Source organism: Homo sapiens, chromosome 7, assembly GCF_000001405.40.
Source record: "Homo sapiens chromosome 7, GRCh38.p14 Primary Assembly".
Classification (NCBI taxonomy): Eukaryota; Metazoa; Chordata; class Mammalia; order Primates; family Hominidae; genus Homo; species Homo sapiens.
Window position 1 is genome coordinate 5,751,566 of NC_000007.14, and position 21,938 is coordinate 5,773,503.

Below are 21,938 nucleotides of genomic sequence, written 5' to 3' on the forward strand. Positions count from 1 at the left end.
TCTGCTTTAATTCTTACACAGGAAAGGTGGCCTGAAGCAGCCTGATGTTAACTCATCAGTTATTTTTCTCTTTTCTGTCTCCCTGTCCCAGCCTGACAAGAAAAGTAACTTTGAAAGGACTTTGCTTCTGCTCTCTTCAGCCCTTCTTTGTCTATAAAGCCAACCACTTCTCCTCAGCTCAGTGGAACACCTACTGAATTTTATGGAAGGAAGTGTTCCTTGGTCCTAGAACCACAATAAAGCCAACTGGGATCTTTAAACTAAAAAAAAAAAAAAAAAAAAAAAAAAAAAGCAACAGATTTGTAGTTTAAAAAAAACAGTTTAAAAAGTACAATGAAAGGGCCAGGCATAGTGGCTCACGCCTATAATCTCAGCACTTTGGGAGGCTGAGGGGGGCGGATCACGAGGTCAGGAGTTCAAGACCAGCCTGGCCAAGATAGTTAAACCTATCTCTGCTAAAAATACAAAAATTAGCCAGGCCTGGTGGCGGGCGCCTGTAATCCCAGCTACTCAGGAGGCTGAGGCAGGAGAATTGCTTGAAACCAGAAGGCGGAGGTTGCAGTGAGCCAAGATCGCGCCACTGCACTCCAGTCTGGGAAAAGAGCAAAACTCCGTCTCAAAAAAATAAAAAAAATGAAAGTACAATGAAAGAAAAGATGTCAGTCACAAAAGCAACAGAAAATATAAAATAACCAAGAAAAACAAAAAATGCTTAAGATCTATATTAAGAAAAATTCAAAATGCTTTCTGGCTGAGGAATATTAAAGTAGCCTTGACTATATGAAAAGACAAAATTTGTTCTTGGTTAGAAAGAGTAGTATCATAAAAATTGCTCTATAAATATAACAGGAAGATTTGTTTTGGATTACGCAAACTGATTATATATATATCTTTATATTTTGGAACTAAAGAAGTTGATTGTAAAATCCATATAAAAATTTAAGTGCAAGAATATCCAGGATGATTCTGAAAAAATGTGGGATAATATGGAAAATATAAGGCCAATCCAACAGTAAGATACACTATAATGTTGTAGCAATGACAACAGTGGAATTTGGTGCGTTAATAGTCAGATGGAACAATGGTGCAGATATTCAATCCAGAAACAGACTGAAACATACAGCTTCTAAATCTAAGAGTACACGAGGTAGAATGGAAAAGGGGCTGTTCTCAGAACGAGTACAAGAGGTGCTGTTCTACAACAAGGCCCACAAGAGTGGCTGAAAAATCAGATCACCAACTTGCAATAATGTCTCATTGTAAGTTTAAAGAAAACTCACTTCTGTCAGGATGACATCATCATCCAGGTCCTCTTCTTCATGCTGCTGAGGAGCTGGGGTGACCAGCATTGGAATCCTTTCCTCATCTGAGGAGTCAGATATGGTGATGGGCCCATCTCGGAGATTGATCCACTCTACAGGAAAGCAGAGAACACTGTTACTGGGAGGTTGGCACTATCACATCCAACTCTTTAAGTTTTTCCTGACAGGGGTACAGCCTAAAGCCAACTTCATGGCTACTAGTGTAACGTACCTCCTCAAGCAGCCCGTGCACTTAAGCATTAAGAGCCATGTTTCTATGCTGACTTTTGCCAATAACACATTTTGGGAACTGCTAGAGAACATCTAACAATTACTATGCTCAAGATTATCAACTTTTTCTCATACTAGGTTGGAGAAATCTGTTTACAAAATTTTCTTGACTGCCAATTTCTTTAAAGTGAAATAATGGTCTCCCAATCCATCTCTATTCCTCCTGGGAATAAATGTCTATTTTATTTAAATTGTTTGGTCTGAAAAAATTATCATTCAAAAAATAGTAAAATTTTAATTGTTTAAAATATTGAAATTTGCTCATCTTAAACACAAACTTTAAGAATCATTTAAGCAAACCTATGTCAATGCTTTAGTCAAGCACCCATTTAGCATCTATGACAGTCAGCAATTTAACTTTCCAAGTTTCCTTTAAAATATATATAATCTAACCATCTAAATGTAGTAATTCTATTCAAGGTTTTTACTTCCTTTTATCAATTTGAAAACAGGCCATGTTTGATATGAATTACTGGGTAACACAAACTGGTATTTTTTCCTGTCTAGTTCCATGGGAATATCAAAGGTTAAGAGGGACAATTTTAAAAAAAAGCATTGGCCGGGAGCAGTGGCTCACGCCTGTAATCCCAGCACTTTGGGAGGCCGAGGTGGGTGGATCATGAGGTCAGGAGTTTGAGACCAGCCAGACGAACACGGTGAAACACCGTCTCTACTAAAAATACAAAAATTAGCCATGCGTGGTGGCGCATGCCTGTAATCCCAGCTATTCAGGAGGCTGAGGCAGGAGAATCGTTTGAACTCGGGAGGCAGAGGTTGCAGTGAGCTGAGATCGCAACACTGCACTCTAGCCTGGGTGACAGAGTGAGACCCCATCTCAAATTTTAAAAAAAATGCATTAAGTGACCTAAAAGAAGAGAAGAAGAAAGAAACGAAATGACGCACCTCATCACTGCAATTTTTGAAATTCTTCCATTAAAGCTGTAATGTTTTTCTTTTGTGTGGTGTGTGTGTGTGTGTGTGTGTGTGTGTGTGTGTGTGTGTGTGCGCATTTGTCTGGGACAGGGTCTTGCTCTATTGCCCAGACTGCAGTACAATGGTGCGATCATAGCTCACTGCAGCTTCAACCTCCTAGGCTCAAGCAATCCTCCCATGTCAGCTTCCCAAGTAGCTAGGACAACAGGTGCACACTACTTTGAACAGTTACTTAAAAAAAAAATTTTTTTTTGTAGAGATGGAGTCTCACTATGTTCCTATGCTGGCCTTGAACTCCTGGCCTCAAGTGCTCCTCCCACCTCGGCCTCCCAAGAAGTCACTGGGATGACAGGCATGAGCCACCATGCCTGACTTAATTGTGGATTTTTAAGGATGAGGAGTTGCCAAGCTCCTCACTTAGCCATTTCAGAAGACACACGCTATGGGGGATCATTCTGAAGAGATACTGAGCAAAGAAAAGCTCTAGCCATTGGTACATGAGGCACAGGAGTCAAGAGAGAAAATGTACACCACTGAAAATGGCCATAGTGAATAAGACCCCTGCACCCGCAGGAAATTGTAGATTCCTCTCTTGAAGAACTGACCCAAGAAAAAGACACACAATCTTGGTGTACCCAATGAAAAAGTTGGTTTAGGCTGGGCACGGTGGCTCACGCCTGTAATCCCAGAACTTTGGGAGGCCTAGACAGGCAGATCACTTGAGGCCAGGAGTTCGAGACGAGCCTGGCCAACATGGTAAAACCCCATCTCTACTACAAATACAAAAATTAGCCGGGTGTGGTGGCATGCAACTGTAATCCCAGCTACCTGGGAGACTGAGGCAGGAGAATCGCTTTAACCTGGGAGATGGAGGCTGCAGTAAGCCAAGATCATGCCACTGCACTCCAGCCTGGGTGCTAGAGCAAGACCCTATCTCAGGCTAAAAAAAAAAAAGGAAACAAGGGAGGGAGGGAGGGAACTGAAGGAAAGGAAGGAAAGGAGAAGAGAGGAGGAAAGGAAGGAAAGGAAGGAAAGGAAAGAGGGAGGGAGGAAGGAAAGAAGGAAGGAGAAAGGAAGGAAAGAGAGGAAAGGAAGAAGGAAGGAAGGAAGGGAGGGAAGGAAGAAAGGAAGGAAGGGAGGGAAGGATGAAAGGAAGGAAGGAAGGAAGGAAGGAAGGAACCTATCACCTTATAATAAAGTCCAGTGTTTGACAAGATACCACACAACACACCACATGTAAGGTTCCAATTAGCTTTTCAAAGTATACTTAAAAAAAAATTGAAAGAATAACACAGCATGGTCTATAAATCAAGTGTACAAGCTCTATGAATTAATACAAAGGGCCATCTGTGTATAATCACCACCACAAGGTCAGGAAATATTTCTAGCACATTAGTAGCCCCCTTGTGCTTTCTCCCAATTTCTGCTCTCCTTCGTCCTCAAAGGGAGGATTTCTAATTGCGCAGATAAGTTTTGCATGTTTTTGAGTATATATTCTTCTCTTTCTTGCAAATAATGTTTGAGATACATCCATACTGCATGCTGTTATAATTCTTTCTTGTATATAATCCACTATATGAATATAACATAAAATTATTCCTTCTTCTGTTGATAGACATTTGAGTATGTGGCAGTTTAGGCTACTGTGGATAGTGCTATTGTGAACATTCTTGTGCAAGTCTTTGGTGTACTCATTTTAGCTGGATACATTCTAGGAGTGGAAATGCTGAGTCATGGGGTAAGCATATGCTCCATTTTGGCAGATAACACTAAACAAATTTTCCAAATTGTACCAATTTACACTCCCATCTGCAGTGTAGGATAGTACGTTGCTTCACGTCCTTATGGGAACACAATCATGCTCATTCATTTATATACTGTCTATAGATTGATATGGTTTGGCTGTGTCCCCACCAAAAATCTCATCTTGAATTGTAATCCCATAATCCCCACAAGTCACGAGCGGGACAGGTGGAGGTAATCGGATCATGGGGGCAGTTTCCCCCATTCTGCTCTCGTGATAGTGAGTGAGTCTTGAGGTGTCCGATGGTTTTATATGCACTGGCATTTCCCCTGCTTGCACTCACTCCATCCTGCCTCCTGAGAAGGTGCCTGCTTCTCCTTTGCCTTTCGCCATGACAGTAATTTTCCTGAGGCCTTCCCAGCAATATGGAACTGTGAGTCAATTAAACCTCTTTCCGTCATAAATTACCCAGTCTCAGGCATTTCTTCCTAGCAGTGTGAAAGCAGACTAATACAGTTGCTTTCATGCTACAATGGTATAGCTGAATAGTTGCAACAGAAACCATATGGCCCGCGAGGCTAAAATATTAACTACTTAGCTCTTCAAATTTGCTGAGCCCTAGTTATCTTGGTTCCCTGCAACCTCCACCTCCTGGGTTCAAGCGATTCTCAGGCCTCAGCCTCCTGAGTAGCTGGGATTACAGGCTTCCAACACCATGCCCGGCTAATTTTTGTATTTTTAGTAGAGATGGGGTTTCCCCATGTTGGCTAGGCTGGGTTTGTTTTTGTTTTGTTTTTTGTTTTTGCGACAGGGTCGCTCTCTGTTGCCCAGGCTAGAGTACAATAGCATGAACACAAGTTCTCTGCAGCCTTGACCTACTACTGGGTTCAAGTGACCCTCCCATCTTGGTATCCCAAGTACCTGGGACCTGGTAAACCCAAGACCACCATACCCAGCTAAATTTTTTATATTTAATTTTTTGCAGACATGAGAATCTCACCATGTCGCCCAGGCTGGCCTCGAAATCCTAGGCTCAAGTTATCCTCCCACTTTGGCCTTCCAAAGTGCTGGCATTACAAGCATGAGCCACTGCGCCTGGCTGAGCTTTTTACTTCTTGTCTAATGTATTTTAGGCCATAAGTTTTCCTCAAAACATGGCATTACATGTATCTCATAAATGTAATAGGCTACATTTTCATTATCATGTAATTCAAAATATCTTCTAATTTTCATTGTGATTTCTTCTCACACTGGGTGCAGAATCCCACCTATGTTTATTACATTTGTTGACCATGTTCTTCCAATCTTCTATATTCATACAAGTGTGTGTATGTGCTTGTTCTTTCAGTTACTGAAACAAGTCTTAAAAATCCCCACTATAATGGTGGATTTGTCCAATTCTGTTTTTAGATCTGCCAATTTTTGCTTTGTATATTTTCCTATCATGTTACTAAGTATACAGGGATTAGCTTATCTTCTCAGTGCACTGAATCTTTTATCATTATGAACTCTATCAATGCTTCTGGCTGGAGTTTCTATCAGTTGTATTTGATATTACACAGATATATCAGCTCTTTTTGTGTGTGTGTGTGGCTATCTGCATGATGTACCTTTTTTCCTTCCTAACAAAATTTTTTTAAATCTTTATTTTACCTTCATTTTTAAGCCTATTTTCACTAGGTACAGAATCGTAGATGAGTAGGTAAAAACACTATTTAGCAATTAAAAAGGAATGAGTTACTGATATATGCAACAACAGGGATGAATCTCAAAAACATTACCTTTCACAAAAGAATTCCAGTACAAAGAATATATACAGTATGTATAATTCCATTTATATGAAATGACAGAGTCAAAAAAAGCAGATTAGTGGTTTCCTTAGGCCTGGAGTGAGGTAAGGACTAACTGCAAAGAGGCACAAGGGAATCTTTTTGGAGTGATAGAAAATGTTCCATATCATAATTCAGGTGGTATATTCATTTTATACACTTTTAACAAAACTACAGAGGTTGATGCATAATAAAAAATTATTAATGTTGGCCAGGAGCAGTGGCTCACACCTGTAATCCTAGCACTTCGTGAGGCAGAGGCAATTGGATCACTTGAGCCCAGCAGTTCAAGACCAGCCTTGCCAGGCAACATAGTGAGACCCTCTCTTGATTAAAGAAAAAAAAATTAATGCAGCTAATAAAAACAAAACTCTATATACCTGAAAAAAGTTCTCATGATGGGTGCAGAGTATACATACTCGTCTAACAAAATATATCTCCAAAGTCAGTAATTTTCCAAAATGAATTAGTTGTTCTTAAAGAAACTGTTCAAGTATATTTAAGATCCAATTAAAAAACAACTATAAAATTAATTGGATATACATGTACAGAAAATTTTGAAATGATCGTAAATACAAGTTATAACTAAGATTTAAAATTGCCTGAATCCAATAAATTATGGCTACAATCACTACCAAGTTAGAATACATTATTAATAAAATCCTAAAAATGAGTCCTCCTTTTGCACTCATAATGTGCATAGCTTGAGCAATTTTATTACTCTTGATTTGACCTAATAAAATTTGCTCAATTTTAAATGCTCTGAAAGCCAAATACACAGTTGACTCTTGAGCAACACTGATTTCAACAGTGTGGGTCCCCTTATTTGCAGATTTTCTTCCACTTGTGTCACTCCTGAGACAGCAGGACTGCACGAGACTTTCAGGAGCCTATCCCTTGCACCAGTGTGCCATGAATGTGAGATGTGGAGTCAAAGGAGGTTATTTTGGACCTTTAAGATTTAATGACCGCCCTGCTGGGTTTTGGACTTGTGTGGGACCTCTTGCGTCTTTCTTTTGGCCAATTTCTCCCTTTTGGAACAGGAGTATATACGCAATGCATGTACCCCCATAGTATCTTGGGAATAATTAACTTGTTTTTGACTTTACAGGCTCATAGGTGGAAGGGACTAGACTTGTCACAGATAAGACTGGACTTTTGAGTTAATGCTAGAATGAGTTAAGACTTTGGGGACTGTTGGGAAGACGCAATTGTATTTAGCAATGTGAGAAGGACAAGAGACTTGGGAGGGGCTGGGGTGGAATAGTATGGTTTGGATCTGTGTCCCTGCCCAAATTTCATATTCAACTGTAAACCCCAATGTTGGAGATGCGGCCTGGTGGGAGGTAATTGGATCATGGGGGTGGTATTTCATAAATGATTTAGCACAATCCGTTCTGGTTGCAACAGTGAGTTCTTGTGAGATCTGGTTGTTTAAAAGTGTGTGGCACCTCTTCCCCAACCCCTCTTGTTCCTGCTCCAGCCATGTGAGACAAGCGTGCTTCCCCTTTTCCTTCTGTCATGATTGTAAGTTTCCTAAGGCCTCCCCCAGAAGCAGAGGCCGCTATGTTTCCTATACAGCCTACAGAATTGTGAACCAATTAAACCTCTTTTCTTTCTTTACAAATTACCCAGTCTTGGGCATTTCTTTACAGCCAGTGGAGAACGAACTAATACAATGACCAACCCCTCTTCTTCCTCCTCCTCTTCAGCCTACTCAATGTGAGGATGATGAAGATGAAGACCTTTAGAATGGTCCACTTCCACTTAAGGAACAGTAAATATATTTTCTTTCTCTTCCTTATGATTTTCTTAATCACACTTCTTTTCTGTAGCTCACTTTATTGTAAGAATACAGTATACAAAACATACAATATATAACGCATGTGTTGACTGTTTATGTTATCAGTAAGGCTTCCAGTCAACAGTAGGCTATTCGTACTTAAGTTTTGGTGGAGTCATTTTTCTTCTTTTTTTTTTTTTTTTGAGACGGAGTCTTGCCCTGTCGCCCAGGCTGGAGTGCAGTGGCACAATCTCAGCTCACTACAACCTCTGCCTCCCAGGTTCAAGTGATTCTCCTGCCTCAGCCTCCCAAGTAGCTGGGACTACAGGCATGCACCACCACGCCCAGCTAATTTTTGTATTTTTTAGTAGAGATGGGATTTCACCATGTTGGTCAGGCTGGTCTCGAACTCCTGACCTCGTGATCCACCCGCCTCGGTCTCCCAAAGTGCTGGGATTACAGGAGTGAGCCACCACGCCTGGCCTGGGGGAGTCATTTTTGTAAGGTCAAATGTAATTTACTCTCTACTAGAAAAATCATCTTTGTAAACACAAAATATTATCAATGGGAGAAAACCAGTATAACCTCTTCCATGGAATTTATAATTGCAAAAAATGAACGTAAGGATTCTACACCTCAGCATGATTTTTTTCCTTTTAGCCCAAGTGTAAATGTGAATTCGAATTTAACAGGAAATTTCACAAACATGTAAGAATGTTACAGAAATGCAAGCACTATTCCCTTTACAAATCAATAAAATTCCCCAAAACTTTAAAAACTGTAGAACAGTCTGGGTGCAGTGGCTCACGCCTGTAATCCCAGCACTTTGGCAGGCTGAGGCGGGCGGATCACCTGAGGTGGAGAGATCAAGACTAGCCTGAACAACGTGGAGAAACCCCATCTCTACTAAAAATACAAAATTAGCAGGGCGTAGTGGCACATGCCTGTAATCCCAGCTACTCAGGAGGCTCAGACCGGAGAATCATTTGAACCCAGGAGGCGGAGCTCGTGGTGAGTCGAGATTACGCCATTGCACTCTGGCCTGGGCAATGAGTAAAATTCCATCTCAAAAAAAGAAAAAAAAAAAACAAAACAAAACTGTAGAACAAAAAAATACATGTTCCAAAATTCCCCTCAAGGCTAAGCCAGAATCTTCTGGCAAAAAAGAAATTAAGCATCATGGGAAGACAAGACTGGTTCAGCAACACCTGCAGTATTTCAGAACATAAAGGCCTAGTGGAGCACTCCTTTATAATCACCACGCCTTCAAAAACTGATGCTGACACTGTCTCTTAAGACTCAATGACTGCATATTAACAGCGTCTTGCCAGCAAATTAATAGCTTATTAATCCATTTGTAATGAATGAGTCTTACACTTCATTCATGCCAGCAATATCATTATCTGATATAATTCTAGTCTAACTAGTCTTTTTGTCAAAAACGAAATGTCCCTGGATTCTAAATGGTACAAAATAGGTTCATTTCAAAAGATACAGCTGTGATACTAAAAGAAAAAGCCACAGGGAAAGGGATGAAGTGAGAACAAACAACTTACCTTGTCCCCGATGGCAGTGAAAGTTGTTCAAGTGAATTACCTCTTCATTGTTGTTTCCCTCTTCCATTTTCAAATGCAGACATGCATATATGGGACTGCTAATATCTAAACATGGTGACCATCTGTTTCAAAAGAACTGAAAAGGAAGCAAAGAGTAACAGTAAGAATGAGGGAGTATCAAAACTCTTGCCATGTATCTGGTCAGGGGAACATCTGAAGCTTATGCTGAAAACATTCCTTAAGAAAACATATCCAAGGAGGTGGGTCAAAAAAAAAAAAAACCACACAAACTCAAAACCTATGACATTAAAACATATTTTTAAAATACACATATTAAAGAGACAAAGTACTGACAGAGAAATGACATCTTGATACAAATATGCTAACAAAGAAATGGGCTAAGGGTATTAACAGGCAATTCAATTCACAAAAAAGAAAACACAGAAGATGCTCAACCTCACTAATAATCAGGGAAAGGCAAATCAGAAAATGAATTATGTTTCAGCCAGACGCAGTGGCTCACGCCTACAATCCCAGCACTTTGGGAGGCCGAGGCGGGCAGGTCATGAGGTTAGGAGTTTGAGACCAGTCTGACCAACATGGTGAAATGCCAACTCTACTAAAAATACAAAAATTAGCTGGGCGTGGTGGCACGTGCCTGTAATCCCAGCTACTCTGGACACTGAGGCAGGAGAATCGCTTGAACCCGGGAGGCTGAAGTTGCAGTGAGCCAAGATCGTGGCACTGCACTCCAGCCTGGGCAACAGAGTGAGACTCCGTCACAAAAAAAAAAAAAAGGAATTATGTTTCAAACCACTGGGGTGGCAAAAAAGGCAAGTATGTAAGACATGGGAAATCATCTTATACATTGCTGGTTTGAAGAGTAACTTGGAAAAGATATTCTGAATAGCAATTAGCAATACGCCCTAAATTACAAATGTACATTCCCTGTGACTTAGCAATTCCACTTCCAGGTATATCAGCTAAAGAAACCTCTGTGTGTTCTCCAAGAAATACGCATAATAGAATATACGGACAGGGATGGTCATTATAGCAAATATGTAATAAAAGCAATTGGAAATGACCTTATTGGACATCAGTAAAGGAATAAATAAAATTCATATGATACAACACAGTTAAATTAACTAATGTTAAATGAAAATAAGTGTGATACCATTTATGTAAGTTAATACAAAAATTTAAAATACATTAAATTTAAATATTAAATTAAAAAATACAGCCAGGCGTGGTGGCTCACACCTGTAATCCCAGCTCTTAGGGAGGCTGAGGTGGATGGATCACCTAAGGTGAGGAGTTTGAGACCAGCCTGGCCAACATGGTGAAACCCCATCTCTATTAAAAACACACACACAGGCTGGGTGCGGTGGCTCAAGCCTGTAATCCCAGCACTTTGGGAGGCTGAGATAGGCGGATCATGAGGTCAGGAGATTGAGACCATCCTGGCCAACACGGTGAAACCCCATCTCTACTAAAAATTTAAAAAATAATAATAAATAAATAAATAATAAAAATACAAAAATTAGCAGGGTGTGGTGACGGGCACCTGATATCCCAGCTAGTCAGGAAGCTAAGGCAGGAGAATGGCATGAACCCGGGAGGCAGAGGTTGCAGTGAGCCGAGATCACACCACTGCACTCCAGCTTGCATGACAGAGCGAGACTCTGTCTCGAAAACAAACAAACAAACAAAAAAAAAATTAAAAATACAGTATGCGTAAGAATGACCTCAGCAACTTCAGGACAGTGACTATTTCTGGGTAAGGGAGAATGAAAAGGAACTTGAACTTGAGTTACATATAACATCTTTTTTCTTTCTTTTAAAGATATTTAAAGCAAACAAGACAAAACATGAACATATGTTAAATCTGGGTAGCAGAGTGGGGTAGTAGACTTGTATTTTTGTAATCCATCCCTCTCTTCCTTTAAAAAGAAGTATCATGGTGTTAAAGCCAAGACATTACATCTCCATGGACCAGCAATGGAACAGAAACACAGAAGTTATTGATGGGGCCAAAGCAGCAGAACTACTGAACTCTGGGGATAGGAAACAGAGAAATATTTGGGAAATGGACTCATATGAGAGTAATGGGGACAAAAAAAACAACAACCCATGTCTATTATGGAAGGAGAAAAGGTGGGTACCAATGAGGGAGTGGGTAGATTAACTGTTAAGTGACATGAGGGAACCTTTCCGGGTTAAGTCACACTCCACATATTGATTGTGGTGGTAGTCACCTGGGTATATGCATTTGTCAAAACTCACTGAACTATATACTAAAATGGATGGATTTTATTTTAATTATATATCAATAAAGATTTCTTTGAGGGCTAGGAGCGATGGCTCACACCTGTAATCCCAGCACTTTGAGAGGCTGAGGAGGGCAGATCATTTGAGGTCAGGAGTTTGATACTAGCCGGGCCAACGTGGTGAAACCCATTTCTACTAAAAATATAAAAATTAGCCAGGCGTGGTGGCAGGCACCTGTAATCCCAGGTACTTGGAAGGCTGAGGCAGGAGAATAACTTGAACCCAGTAGGAGGAGGTTGTAGTCTTTTTTATTTCTTTTTGAGCCAGTCTCTCTCTGTCATCCTGGCTGGAGAGCAGCTACACGATCACGGCTCACTACAGCCTTGAACCCCTGGGCTCAAGCAATCCTCCTGCCTCAGCCTCAGAGTAGCTGGGACCACAGGCATGCACCACCATGCCTAGCTGAATTTTTAAAATTTTTTTGTAGAGACAGGGTCTCACTATGCTGCCCAGGCTGGTTTGGATATCCCGGTCTCAAGCATTCCTTCTGCCTTGGCTTCCCAAAGTGCTGCGATTACAGGTGTGAACCACCAAGCCCAGCCTGTATCAATAAAGATTTTAAAAAATAAAACAGACGGCAGGGCACGACAGCTCATGGCTGTAATCTAAGCACCTTGGGAGGCCGAGGCAGGCGGATCACTCGAGGTCAGGAGTTTGAGACCAGCCTGGCCAACATGGGCGAAACCCTGCTTCTACTAAAAATACAAGAAATTATCCAGATGTGGTGGCAGGTGCCTGTAATCCCAGCTACTTGGGAGGCTGAGGCAGGAGAATTGCTTCAACCAGGGAGGCAGAGGTTGTAGAGTAAGCTGAGATCACGCCATTGCACTCCAGGTTGGGAGACAAGAGCAAAACTCTATCTCAAAAGAATAAACTAATTAAAAAAAAAAAAAAACAGATAAGTATCCATTCAAACCAGCAATGGTGTGGTGAAACTATACAGGCTATTGGACAGTAGTAAAAATAAAACCACACATAAAAATGTCATAAGGTAGAACTACCAGAGGTAAAACAAAGATAAAAATAGACTCTTCAGGCTGGGCTTGGTGGCTCACACCTGTAATCCCAGCACTCTGGGAGGCTGAGGAGAGCGGATCACTTGAAGTCAGGAGTTCGAGACCAGCCTGGTCAACATGGCAAAACGCCGTCTCTACTAAAAATACAAAAATCAGCTTGGTGTGGTGGCATGCACCTGTAATCCCAGCTATTCAGGAGGTTGAGGCGAGAGAATCGCTTGAACCCGGGAGGCGGAGGTTGCAGTAGGCCAAGATTGTGCCACTACACTCCAGCCTGGGCAACAGAGCAAGACACCGTCTCAAAAAAAAAAAAAGACTCTTCATAAGAAGCAATTAACACTAAAGTAATAAAATATGATCTTTAGGTAGTAGAGAAAAAATAATTGTAAACTTCAAATTCTATGATCCCTTAAATTCTTTTTCAAGAGTAAGGGTAGCGGCTGGGTGCAGTGGCTCATGCCTATAATCCCACCACTTTGGGAAGCCAAAGCGGGACAATCACTGGAGGTCAGAAATTCGAGACCAGCCTGAGCAAACTTGGTGAGACCCCATCTCTACAAAAAACTGAAAAAAATTAGTTGGGCATGGTGGCACACATCTGTGATCCCAGCTACTCCTGAGGCTGAGGCTAGAGGATTGCTTGAGCCCATGAGTTCCAAGTTTACAGTAAGCTATGACCAACCCACTGCACTCCAGCCTAGGAAACAAAGCAAGACTCTCTTAAAAAAAAAAAAAAAAGTAAGGATGGGATAAAACAATTTTTACACATTCAAAGACTAAGAGAGTTTACCTCCCACAGATACTCAAAGAGCTATTAAAAAAATGAACTTCAAGACCGGGCATGGTGGCTCACGCCTTTAATCCCAGGACTTCGGGAGGTCGAGGCCAGTGGATTGCTTAAGGTCAGGAGTTGAGACCAGCCTGGGCAACACAGTGAGGACTATCTATACTGAAAATACAAAAATTAGCTGGGTGTGGTAGCAGGTGGGAATCTGTAATCCCAGCTACTTGGGAGGCTGAGGTAAGAGAATTGCTTCAGCTTGGAAGGTGGAGGTTGCAGTGAGCTGAGATTGTGCCACTGCACTCCAGCCTAGGCAACAGGGTGAGACTCCATCTCAAAAAATAAAAAAATAAAAAATAAGGCATGGTGGTGCATGCCCGTAGTCCCAGCTACTCAGGAAGCTGAAGCAGGAGGACTGCTTGAGCCCAGGAGTTCGACACTGCAGTGTGCCACCATCATGCCACTGCACTCCAGCCAGGGTGAGAGCGAGACCCTGCCTCTGAAACAAACAAAAAGCATGAAAAAGAAACATGGGGCTGGCATGGTGGCTCACACCTGTAATCCCAGTACTTCGGGCGGCTGAGGCGGGCAGACTGCCTGAGCTCAGGAGTTTGCCACCAGCCTGGGCAACACAGTGAAACCCCGTCTCTACTAAAATACAAAAAAAAAAAAAAAAAAATTAGCCAGGCGTGGCAGTATGTGCCTGTAATCCCAGCTACTCAGGAGGCTGAGGCAGAATTGCTTGAACCCGGGAGGCAGAGGTTGCAGTGAGCCCAGATTGCACCACTGCAGTCCAGCCTGAGCGACAGAGTGAGACTCTGTCTCAAAAAAAAAAAAAAAGAAAGAAAGAAATAGAAACATGAATCCAGGCTGGGCACAATGGCTCACACTTGTAATCCAGGAAACCAATCCTTGGGAGACCAAGGTGGGAGAATCACTTGACGCTAGGGGTTCAAGACCAGCCTGGGCAATATAGCTAGACCCTGTCTCTACGAAAAATAAAAATTAAAAAACTAGCTGCGCGGGGTGGCATGTACCTATAGTTTTAGCTACCCAGGAGTCTGAAGCAGGAGGATCTCCTGAACCCAGGAGTTTGATGTTGCAGTGAGCCATGAGTGTGCCACTGCACTCCAGCCTGGGTGACAGAGTGAGACACTGCCTCAAAAAACTAAAACAAAAACAAACAAAAAAATCCTTGAGTCTAGAGGATGAGTGATGCTCTAAAGTGTGTCACGCCTGGCCTCCAAATTCCTATATTGAAGCTCTGACCTCCAATATAATGGTATTTGGAGATGGAGTCTGTGGGAGGTGATTAGAATTAGATGAAGTCATGGAGGTTGGGCCCTCATGATGGCTGGGCACTCTGAGAAGAAGAGATCTAGAGAGCTTGCTTTTTCTCTCCATCATGTGAGAACACAGGGAGAAGGCAGTTGTCTGAGATCCAGGAAGAGAGAACTAACCAGAATCCAACAATGCTGAAACTCTATTCTCAGACTTCCAAATTCCAGAACTGTGAGAAAATAAATTTGTTTTAAATGTCACCCAGCTGATGCTATTTTGTTAGTCTATGGTATCAGTCAGCTTGAGCTGACTAATACAGGTGGAATTACAGAAACAACACATATAGCACAGAAAATAATGAAACAGGGTCTTAATTTCAAGTAACAAATGTCTGTGGCACAACTTTTTAAAAATGTTTAAAAGGTGAAACTAAAATTCTATACAACTATAAAGGGTGCGTGTGTATGTTTAGAGACTGATATTCACCAGATAGCTGTATAATGATAATGTCCTTGGGTCCTGTTCCAGAGGCTAAAAGAGAGAATAAAATTACAAGCCAAAATGAGGATGCTACTATGTATGAACCATTTTTCTTATCACTTTACATGCATAACACAGCTAATCCTAACAAGAACCCTATAATCCTGGCATGTTTATTAACCTTATTTTACAGAGACTTTGGCTCTGGCCATGACAAAGTATTAATAGCCTATAGTAGACCAACCCTTTGCCTCTTCTTATAAATCCACTACAGAAAGGACGAATATATAAAACACATCTTTGAAGGCAATGGTGAAAAACCAGCTGGCAGGATTTCAGGGGCTCTGATCCATGAAAAATGAGAAGCACATCAGGAGATGACACATTCATCCTATATTTTTTGTCTCCTGAAGGCATATGCCAAATCTTAAGTGTGAAAAAATGGACCTGAGGCAGAAGCAGCAATTTCAATGGGCTGAGGAGTTGAAGGTCAGAGTTTGGGGCTGCCAAAGTAGCTGAGACTTAAGGGACAAAATTCCAGCAAGGAAGAATCCACTGAGAAAGAACTCTCCAAAAACCAGAATAACCTCCTCACCCCCCACCAAGTTGTTAACCTATGCCACATACATGCAGGACTAGACTCCCCAAAATCCAACAGCAGAGAAGCTAAAGAGCTGAGCAGAAATCTCAGCAAACATGTATTGTTGAGAGGGATTTTTTTTTTTTTTTTGAGATGGAGTTTTGCTCTGCCACCCAGGCTGAAGTAATGGTGCGATCTTGGCTCACTGCAACCTCTGCCTCCTGGGTTCAAGCCATTTTCCTGCCTCAGCCTCCTGAGTAGTGGGGACTACAGGCACACGCCACCATGCCCAGCTAATTTTTGTATTTTTAGTAAAGAGGAGACTTTGTTATGTTGGCCAGGGTGGTCTCGAATTCCTGACCTCAGGTGATGCATTTGCTTTGGCCTCCCAAAGTACTGGGATTACAGGCATGAGCCACAACTCCCAGCCTGTTGAGAGAGATTAAAGGTCAAGCCCAACCAAAGTAGAGGAATGCTGGTAAACACTGAGCTTTCATCTAAGATCCTAGGAGAGCCAAATCTTAAGGGTTAAGAGCAAAATGAAAACAGACTTAATAAAGAGCAAACCATGACAGGATCAAGATGATTTGCCGGTACTCTAATTTGCACACCTAAAAAACTTAAACCACAATGGAGGAGTATCATTTGGAACTTCCAGTTTTTTCATTCATAATGTCCAGACTTTGATTAAAAAAAAAATTACCAGGTGCGGTAGCTCATGCCTGTAATCCTAGCACTTTGGGAGGCTGAAGCAGGAGGATCACTTGAGCCCAGGAGTTTAAGACCAGCCTGGGAAACATAGTGAGATCTTGTCGCTATTAGGGGGAAAAAAAAAAAAAAAGGCTGGGTCCAGTAGTGGGAGGCCGAGGCAGGCAAATACACACACACACACACACACACACACACACACACACACACACACACAGCTTAAATTGACAGACCTTAAGGAAGCAAGATGAACCCACTTATAGCTGGATAGACTTGAACAGTACTATCAAAGAGCTTGACCTAACTGACACTTTATCCAGTAACTGCAGAATACACATTCTTTTCAAGTGTATGAGAACATTCACAAAACAGACTGTATGCCATGCCGTAACAAATTTTGAAGGCTTGAAATCACACAGCATGTTCTCTGACAACAGTCAATAAAAGATAATTAGGTAATTCTGAAATGTGAGAAATGAAGCAACTTTGTTTTTTTTTTTTTTGGGACAGAGTCTTGCTCTGTCGCCCAGGCTGGAGTGCAGTGGCTCGATCTTGGCTCACTGCAAGCTCCGCCTCCCGGGTTTACGCCATTCTCCTGCCTCACCCTCCCGAGTAACTAAGACTACAGGCGCCCACCACCACGCCCGGCTATTTTTTTGTATTTTTAGTAGAGACAGGGTTTCACCATGTTAGCCAGGATGGTCTTGATCTCCTGACCTCGTGATCCACCCGCCTCGACCTCCCAAAGTGCTGGGATTACAGGCATGAGCCACTGTGCCCGGCCAAAGCAACTTTTAAAATCCACACATTAACGAAGAAATTACAATGAAAATTAGTTAACTATTTTGACTAAATAAACTGAAAGATAATGAAAACAAAATATATCAAAATTTATGTGAAGGAGGTAAAATAGTTTATTAGACACAATTTACAGTTCCAAATGCCTTTTTTTTTTTTTTTTTGACGGAGTTCCCCTCTGTTGCCAGACTGGAGTGCAGTGGCACAATCTCAGCTCACTGCAGCCTCTGCCTCCTGTGTTCAAGTGATTCTCCTGCCTCAGCCTCCCGAGTAGCTGGGACTACAGGCGTGCGCCACCACGCCCAGCTAATTTTTGTATTTTTAGTAGAGAAGGGGTTTCACCATGTTGGCCAGGATGGTCTCAATCTCTTGACCCTGTGATCTGCTGGCCTTGGCCTCCCGAAGTGTTGGGATTACAGGCGTGAGCCACCGCGCCTGGCCGCAAATGCCTTATTTTAAACAAAGAGGCTGGGCGTGGTGGCTCATGCCTGTAATCCCAGCACTTTGGGAGTCTGAGGTGGGCGGACTGCTTGAGCTCAGGAGTTCAAGACCAGCCTGGGCAACATGGTGAAACGCTGTCTCTACCAACAAACAAACAAATTAGATGGGCATGGTGGCATGCACCTGTGGTACCAGCTACATGGGAGGCCGGGGAGGGAGGACTGCTTGAGCCTAAGAGGCAGAAGTTGCAGTAAGCTAAGATCACACCACTGTACTCCAACCTGGGAGACAGTGAGAGCTGTCTCAAAAAAAAGAAAAAAAGAAAAAAGACTGAAAATCGGCCAGGCGTGGTGACTCACGCCTATAATCCCAGCACTTTGGGAGGCCAAGATAGACGGATCACTTGAGGTCAGGAGTTTGAGACCAGCCTGGCCAACATGGTGAAAACCTGTCTCTATTAAAAATACAAAAATTAGCCAGGCTTGGTGGCGAGTGCTTGTAGCCAGGAGGCTGAGACAGAGGAATCACTTGAACCCAGGAGGCCAAGTTGCAGTGAGCTGAGATTGTGCCACTGTACTCCAACCTGGCTGACAGAGTGAGACCCATCTCAAAAAAAAAAAAAAAAAAAAAAAAAAAAAGACTGAAAATCGGCTGGGCGTGGTGGCTCACGCCTGTAGTCCCACCACTTTGGGAGGCTGAGGCAAGCAGATTGCTTGAGCACAGAAGTTTAAGGCCAGCGAAACCCCATCAAACAAGATTACTTGGGCTGGGCGCCGTGGCTCACATCTGTAACCCCAGCACTTTCGGAGGCCAAGGTGGGCGGATCGCCTGAGGTGGGGAGTTTGAGACCAGCCTGACCAACATGGAGAAACCCCATCCCTACTAAAAATACAAAATTCACCAGGCGTGGTGGCACATGCCTGTAATCCCAGCTACTCAGGAGGCTGAGGCAGGAGAATCACTTGAACCTGGGAGGCGGAGGTTGTGGTGAGCCGAGATCATGCCAATGCACTCCAGCCTGGGCAACGAGAGCAAAACTCCGTCTCAAAAAAAAAAAAAAGATTACTGGGAGAAATTAAATATCAAATAAATGTAGAGACATACCATATTCACGGGTGGGAAAGTTCAATTTTGCAAAGATGTCCTTTCACTCTAAATTGATGTGTAGATTTAATACAACCTTTATCAGGTTTTAAGAATAGATATATACTAGATGACTTTAGAATTTACAGGAAAACAGCCAAGAATAACCAAAGCATTCATGGAGAAAAACAAAAGGAGGATTTACAGTAGGAGATATTGTATTACTATTAAGTTACACTAATTAAGACAATATTGTATTGACAAAAGAAAAACAGACCAATGGAACAGAGTGCAGAACAGATTCTTTTTTTTTTTTTCTTTCCCCCCGAAACAGTGTCTTGCTCTGTCGCCCAGGCCGGAGTGCAGTGGTGTGATCTCGGCTCACTGCAACCTCCGCCTCCTGGGTTCAAGCGATTCTCCTGCTTCAGCCTCCAGAGTTGCTGGAATTACAGGCATGCACCACCACGCCCGGCTAATTTTTGTATTGTTAGTAGAGACAGGGTTTCACCATGTTGGCCAGGCTGGTCTCGAACTCTTGACCTTGTGATTCGCCCACCTTGGCCTCCCAAAGTGCTGGGATTACAGGCGTGAGCCACCACACCTGGCCCCAGATTCAGTCTTATATGAATGTTTATGACAAAAGTAGCATTGCAGAGCAGTGGAAAACATGACCTTTCTACTATATGATGCTGTACTCAAAAGCCATATATGGGGTGGGAGTAGGGGGTAACAACCCCTTCCTCATGCCTTACACAAAAACAATTTTAGATAACTACACATTTAAACAGAAAGGTAAAATAAGTTTCTAGAAGATAACACAAAATCTCCACAATCTTAGAGGTGCAAAAGATACCCTAAACAGGACATAAACAGTACTATCCATAAAAGAAAAAACTGAAACACTATACATTAAAATTAAGCATGTCTACTCACCAAAGAAATTCAGAATGAAAAGGCAAGCCACCAGGAGAAAATATAAAAACTCTTGCATGTTAACTGAAAAGAAAAAGAATCCCGGCGGGGTGCAGTGGCTCATGCCTGTAATCCCTGCACTTTGGAAGGCCAAGGCAGGCAGATCACTTGAGCTCAGGAGTCTGAGACCAGCCTGGACAACATGGCAAAACCCATTTCTACAAAAAAAGCAAAAAAATTTAGCCAGGCGCAGTAGCGGGCACCTAGTCCCAGCTACTCAGGAGGCTGAGGTGGGAAGATCTCTTGAGCTCGAGAGGTGGAGGTTGCAGTAGGCTGTGATCCCGCCACTGCATTCCAGCCTGGGCAATGGGAGTGAAACCCTGTCCCCCCACCAAAAAACATCTGCCCAAAGGAAAAATGGGGCAAACAATTTGAATTAACAACGGCTGAGTACCCCGAGGAAACGCAAAAGGCCAATAAATAAATGAAAAAGTGTCCAACATTATGAGACATCAGAGAAATGTAAACTAAAACCACAAGGGGCCGGGCGTGGTGGCTCACGCCTGTAATCCCAGCACTTTGGAAGGCCGAGGCGGGTGGATCACCTGAGCTCAGGAGTTCGAGACCAGCCTGACCAACATGGAGAAACCCTGTCTCTACTAAAAATACAAAATTAGCTGGGCATGGTGGCCCATGCCTGTAATCCCAGCTACTCAGGACGCTGAGGCAGGAGAATCGTTTGAACCCGGGAGGTGGAGGTTGCGGTGAGCCGAGATCAAGCCATTGCACTCCAGCCTGGGCAACAAGAGTGAAACTCCGTCCCAATAAAATAAAGTAAAATAAAATAAAACCACAAGGAAATTCTGGGAAGACAGTAGTAGTAACAGCAGAATAGTCTTTGAATCTCCTCAAATTCTTACATAGTAACAGAAAAAATTCCATGGACAACAGTTACAAAAAAACTAGACAAGAAAGAATCTCCACAAACACCAAATTACTATAAACACAAGATTTAAATGTGCTTCTTGCTGTGTCACCCAGGCTGGAGTGCAGTGGTGCGATCTCGGCTTACTGCAACTTCCATCTCCCAGGTTTAAGCGATTCAATCCTTTCCTTCCTCTCTGAGAAAATCTCAATTTTCTTTGCCTTCCTGGGAGAAACCACTGTGCCTCAGAGGCAGTAAGCCCCAGATCGGGGCTTCTCATTAAATGTCTACAAAGAGTTAATAGTCAAATAATATCAGCATTTTCTCAACTTATAGAATGTGAAGTTATAGATACTATCAAAATATACAGATATCAAAACCAGGTTAGCAAAGTTTTACAACAGAAATTTCTAGCATTGATAACTGAAAAAAGATATTCCTTTTTTTTTTTTTTTTTTTGAGACAGAGTTTCGCTCTTGTCATCCAGGCTAGAGTGCAATGGCACGATCTCGGCTCACTGCAACCCTCTGCATCCCGGGTTCAAGCAATTCTCCTGCCTCACCCTCCCGAGTAGCTGGGATTACAGGCATGCGCCACCATGTCTGGCTAATTTTTGTATTTTTTAGTAGACACAGGGTTTCACCATGTTGGCCAGGCTAGTCTCGAACTACTGACCTCTGGTGATCCACACGCCTCAGCCTCCCACAGTGGTGGGATTACAGGCATGAGCCACCATGCCTGGCCCCAGGTATTCCCACTTTTAAAACTGACATATATCAGCGTAAGTTTGGGTCTCTCATTTGAAATAATGATATTGATGTTATTAATAAGTAGCATGGTATTTAAAAGAACAGCTCTGGTATCAAATTTGAACTGCATCTAATCAAGTCCTTTTTTTTCCCCAAATAAGATTTTTTTTTTTTTTGAGACAGAGTCTCCCACTGTCACCTGGGCTGGAGTGCAGTGGTGCAATCTCAGCTCACTGCAACCTCCACCTCCTGGGTTCAAGCGATTCTTCTGCCTCAACCTCCAGAATAGCTGGGATTAAGGGTGCCCGCCACCAAACAAGCTAGTTTTTTGTATTTTTAGTAGAGACAATGTTTCACCATGTTGGCCAGGCTGGTTTCAAACTCCTGACCTCGTGATTTCCCCGCCTTGGTCTCCCAAA

At 42.5% G+C, this 21,938-nt stretch overlaps 1 protein-coding gene across 10 annotated transcripts in view; it reads right to left on the reverse strand.

The window, feature by feature from the left end:
• The window catches only part of RNF216 (ring finger protein 216), a 161,617-nt gene that overhangs the window by 131,519 nt on the left and 8,160 nt on the right, over positions 1 to 21,938 (reverse strand). For 7 of the 10 annotated variants that reach the window (NM_207116.3, NM_207111.4, XM_047420525.1 and 4 more), the window contains exons 2-3: positions 9,438 to 9,573; positions 1,281 to 1,414 (exon numbers count right to left, since the gene is read on the reverse strand). In NM_207116.3, coding sequence (NP_996999.1) covers positions 1,281 to 1,414; positions 9,438 to 9,504 — 201 coding nt within the window. In that variant the 5' untranslated portion in view covers positions 9,505 to 9,573. Of the gene's footprint in view, positions 1 to 1,280; positions 1,415 to 9,437; positions 9,574 to 15,329; positions 15,375 to 21,938 lie in introns of those variants that run through there. The other 3 variants (NM_001377156.1, XM_005249785.3, XM_047420529.1) reach the window with 2 other exon arrangements.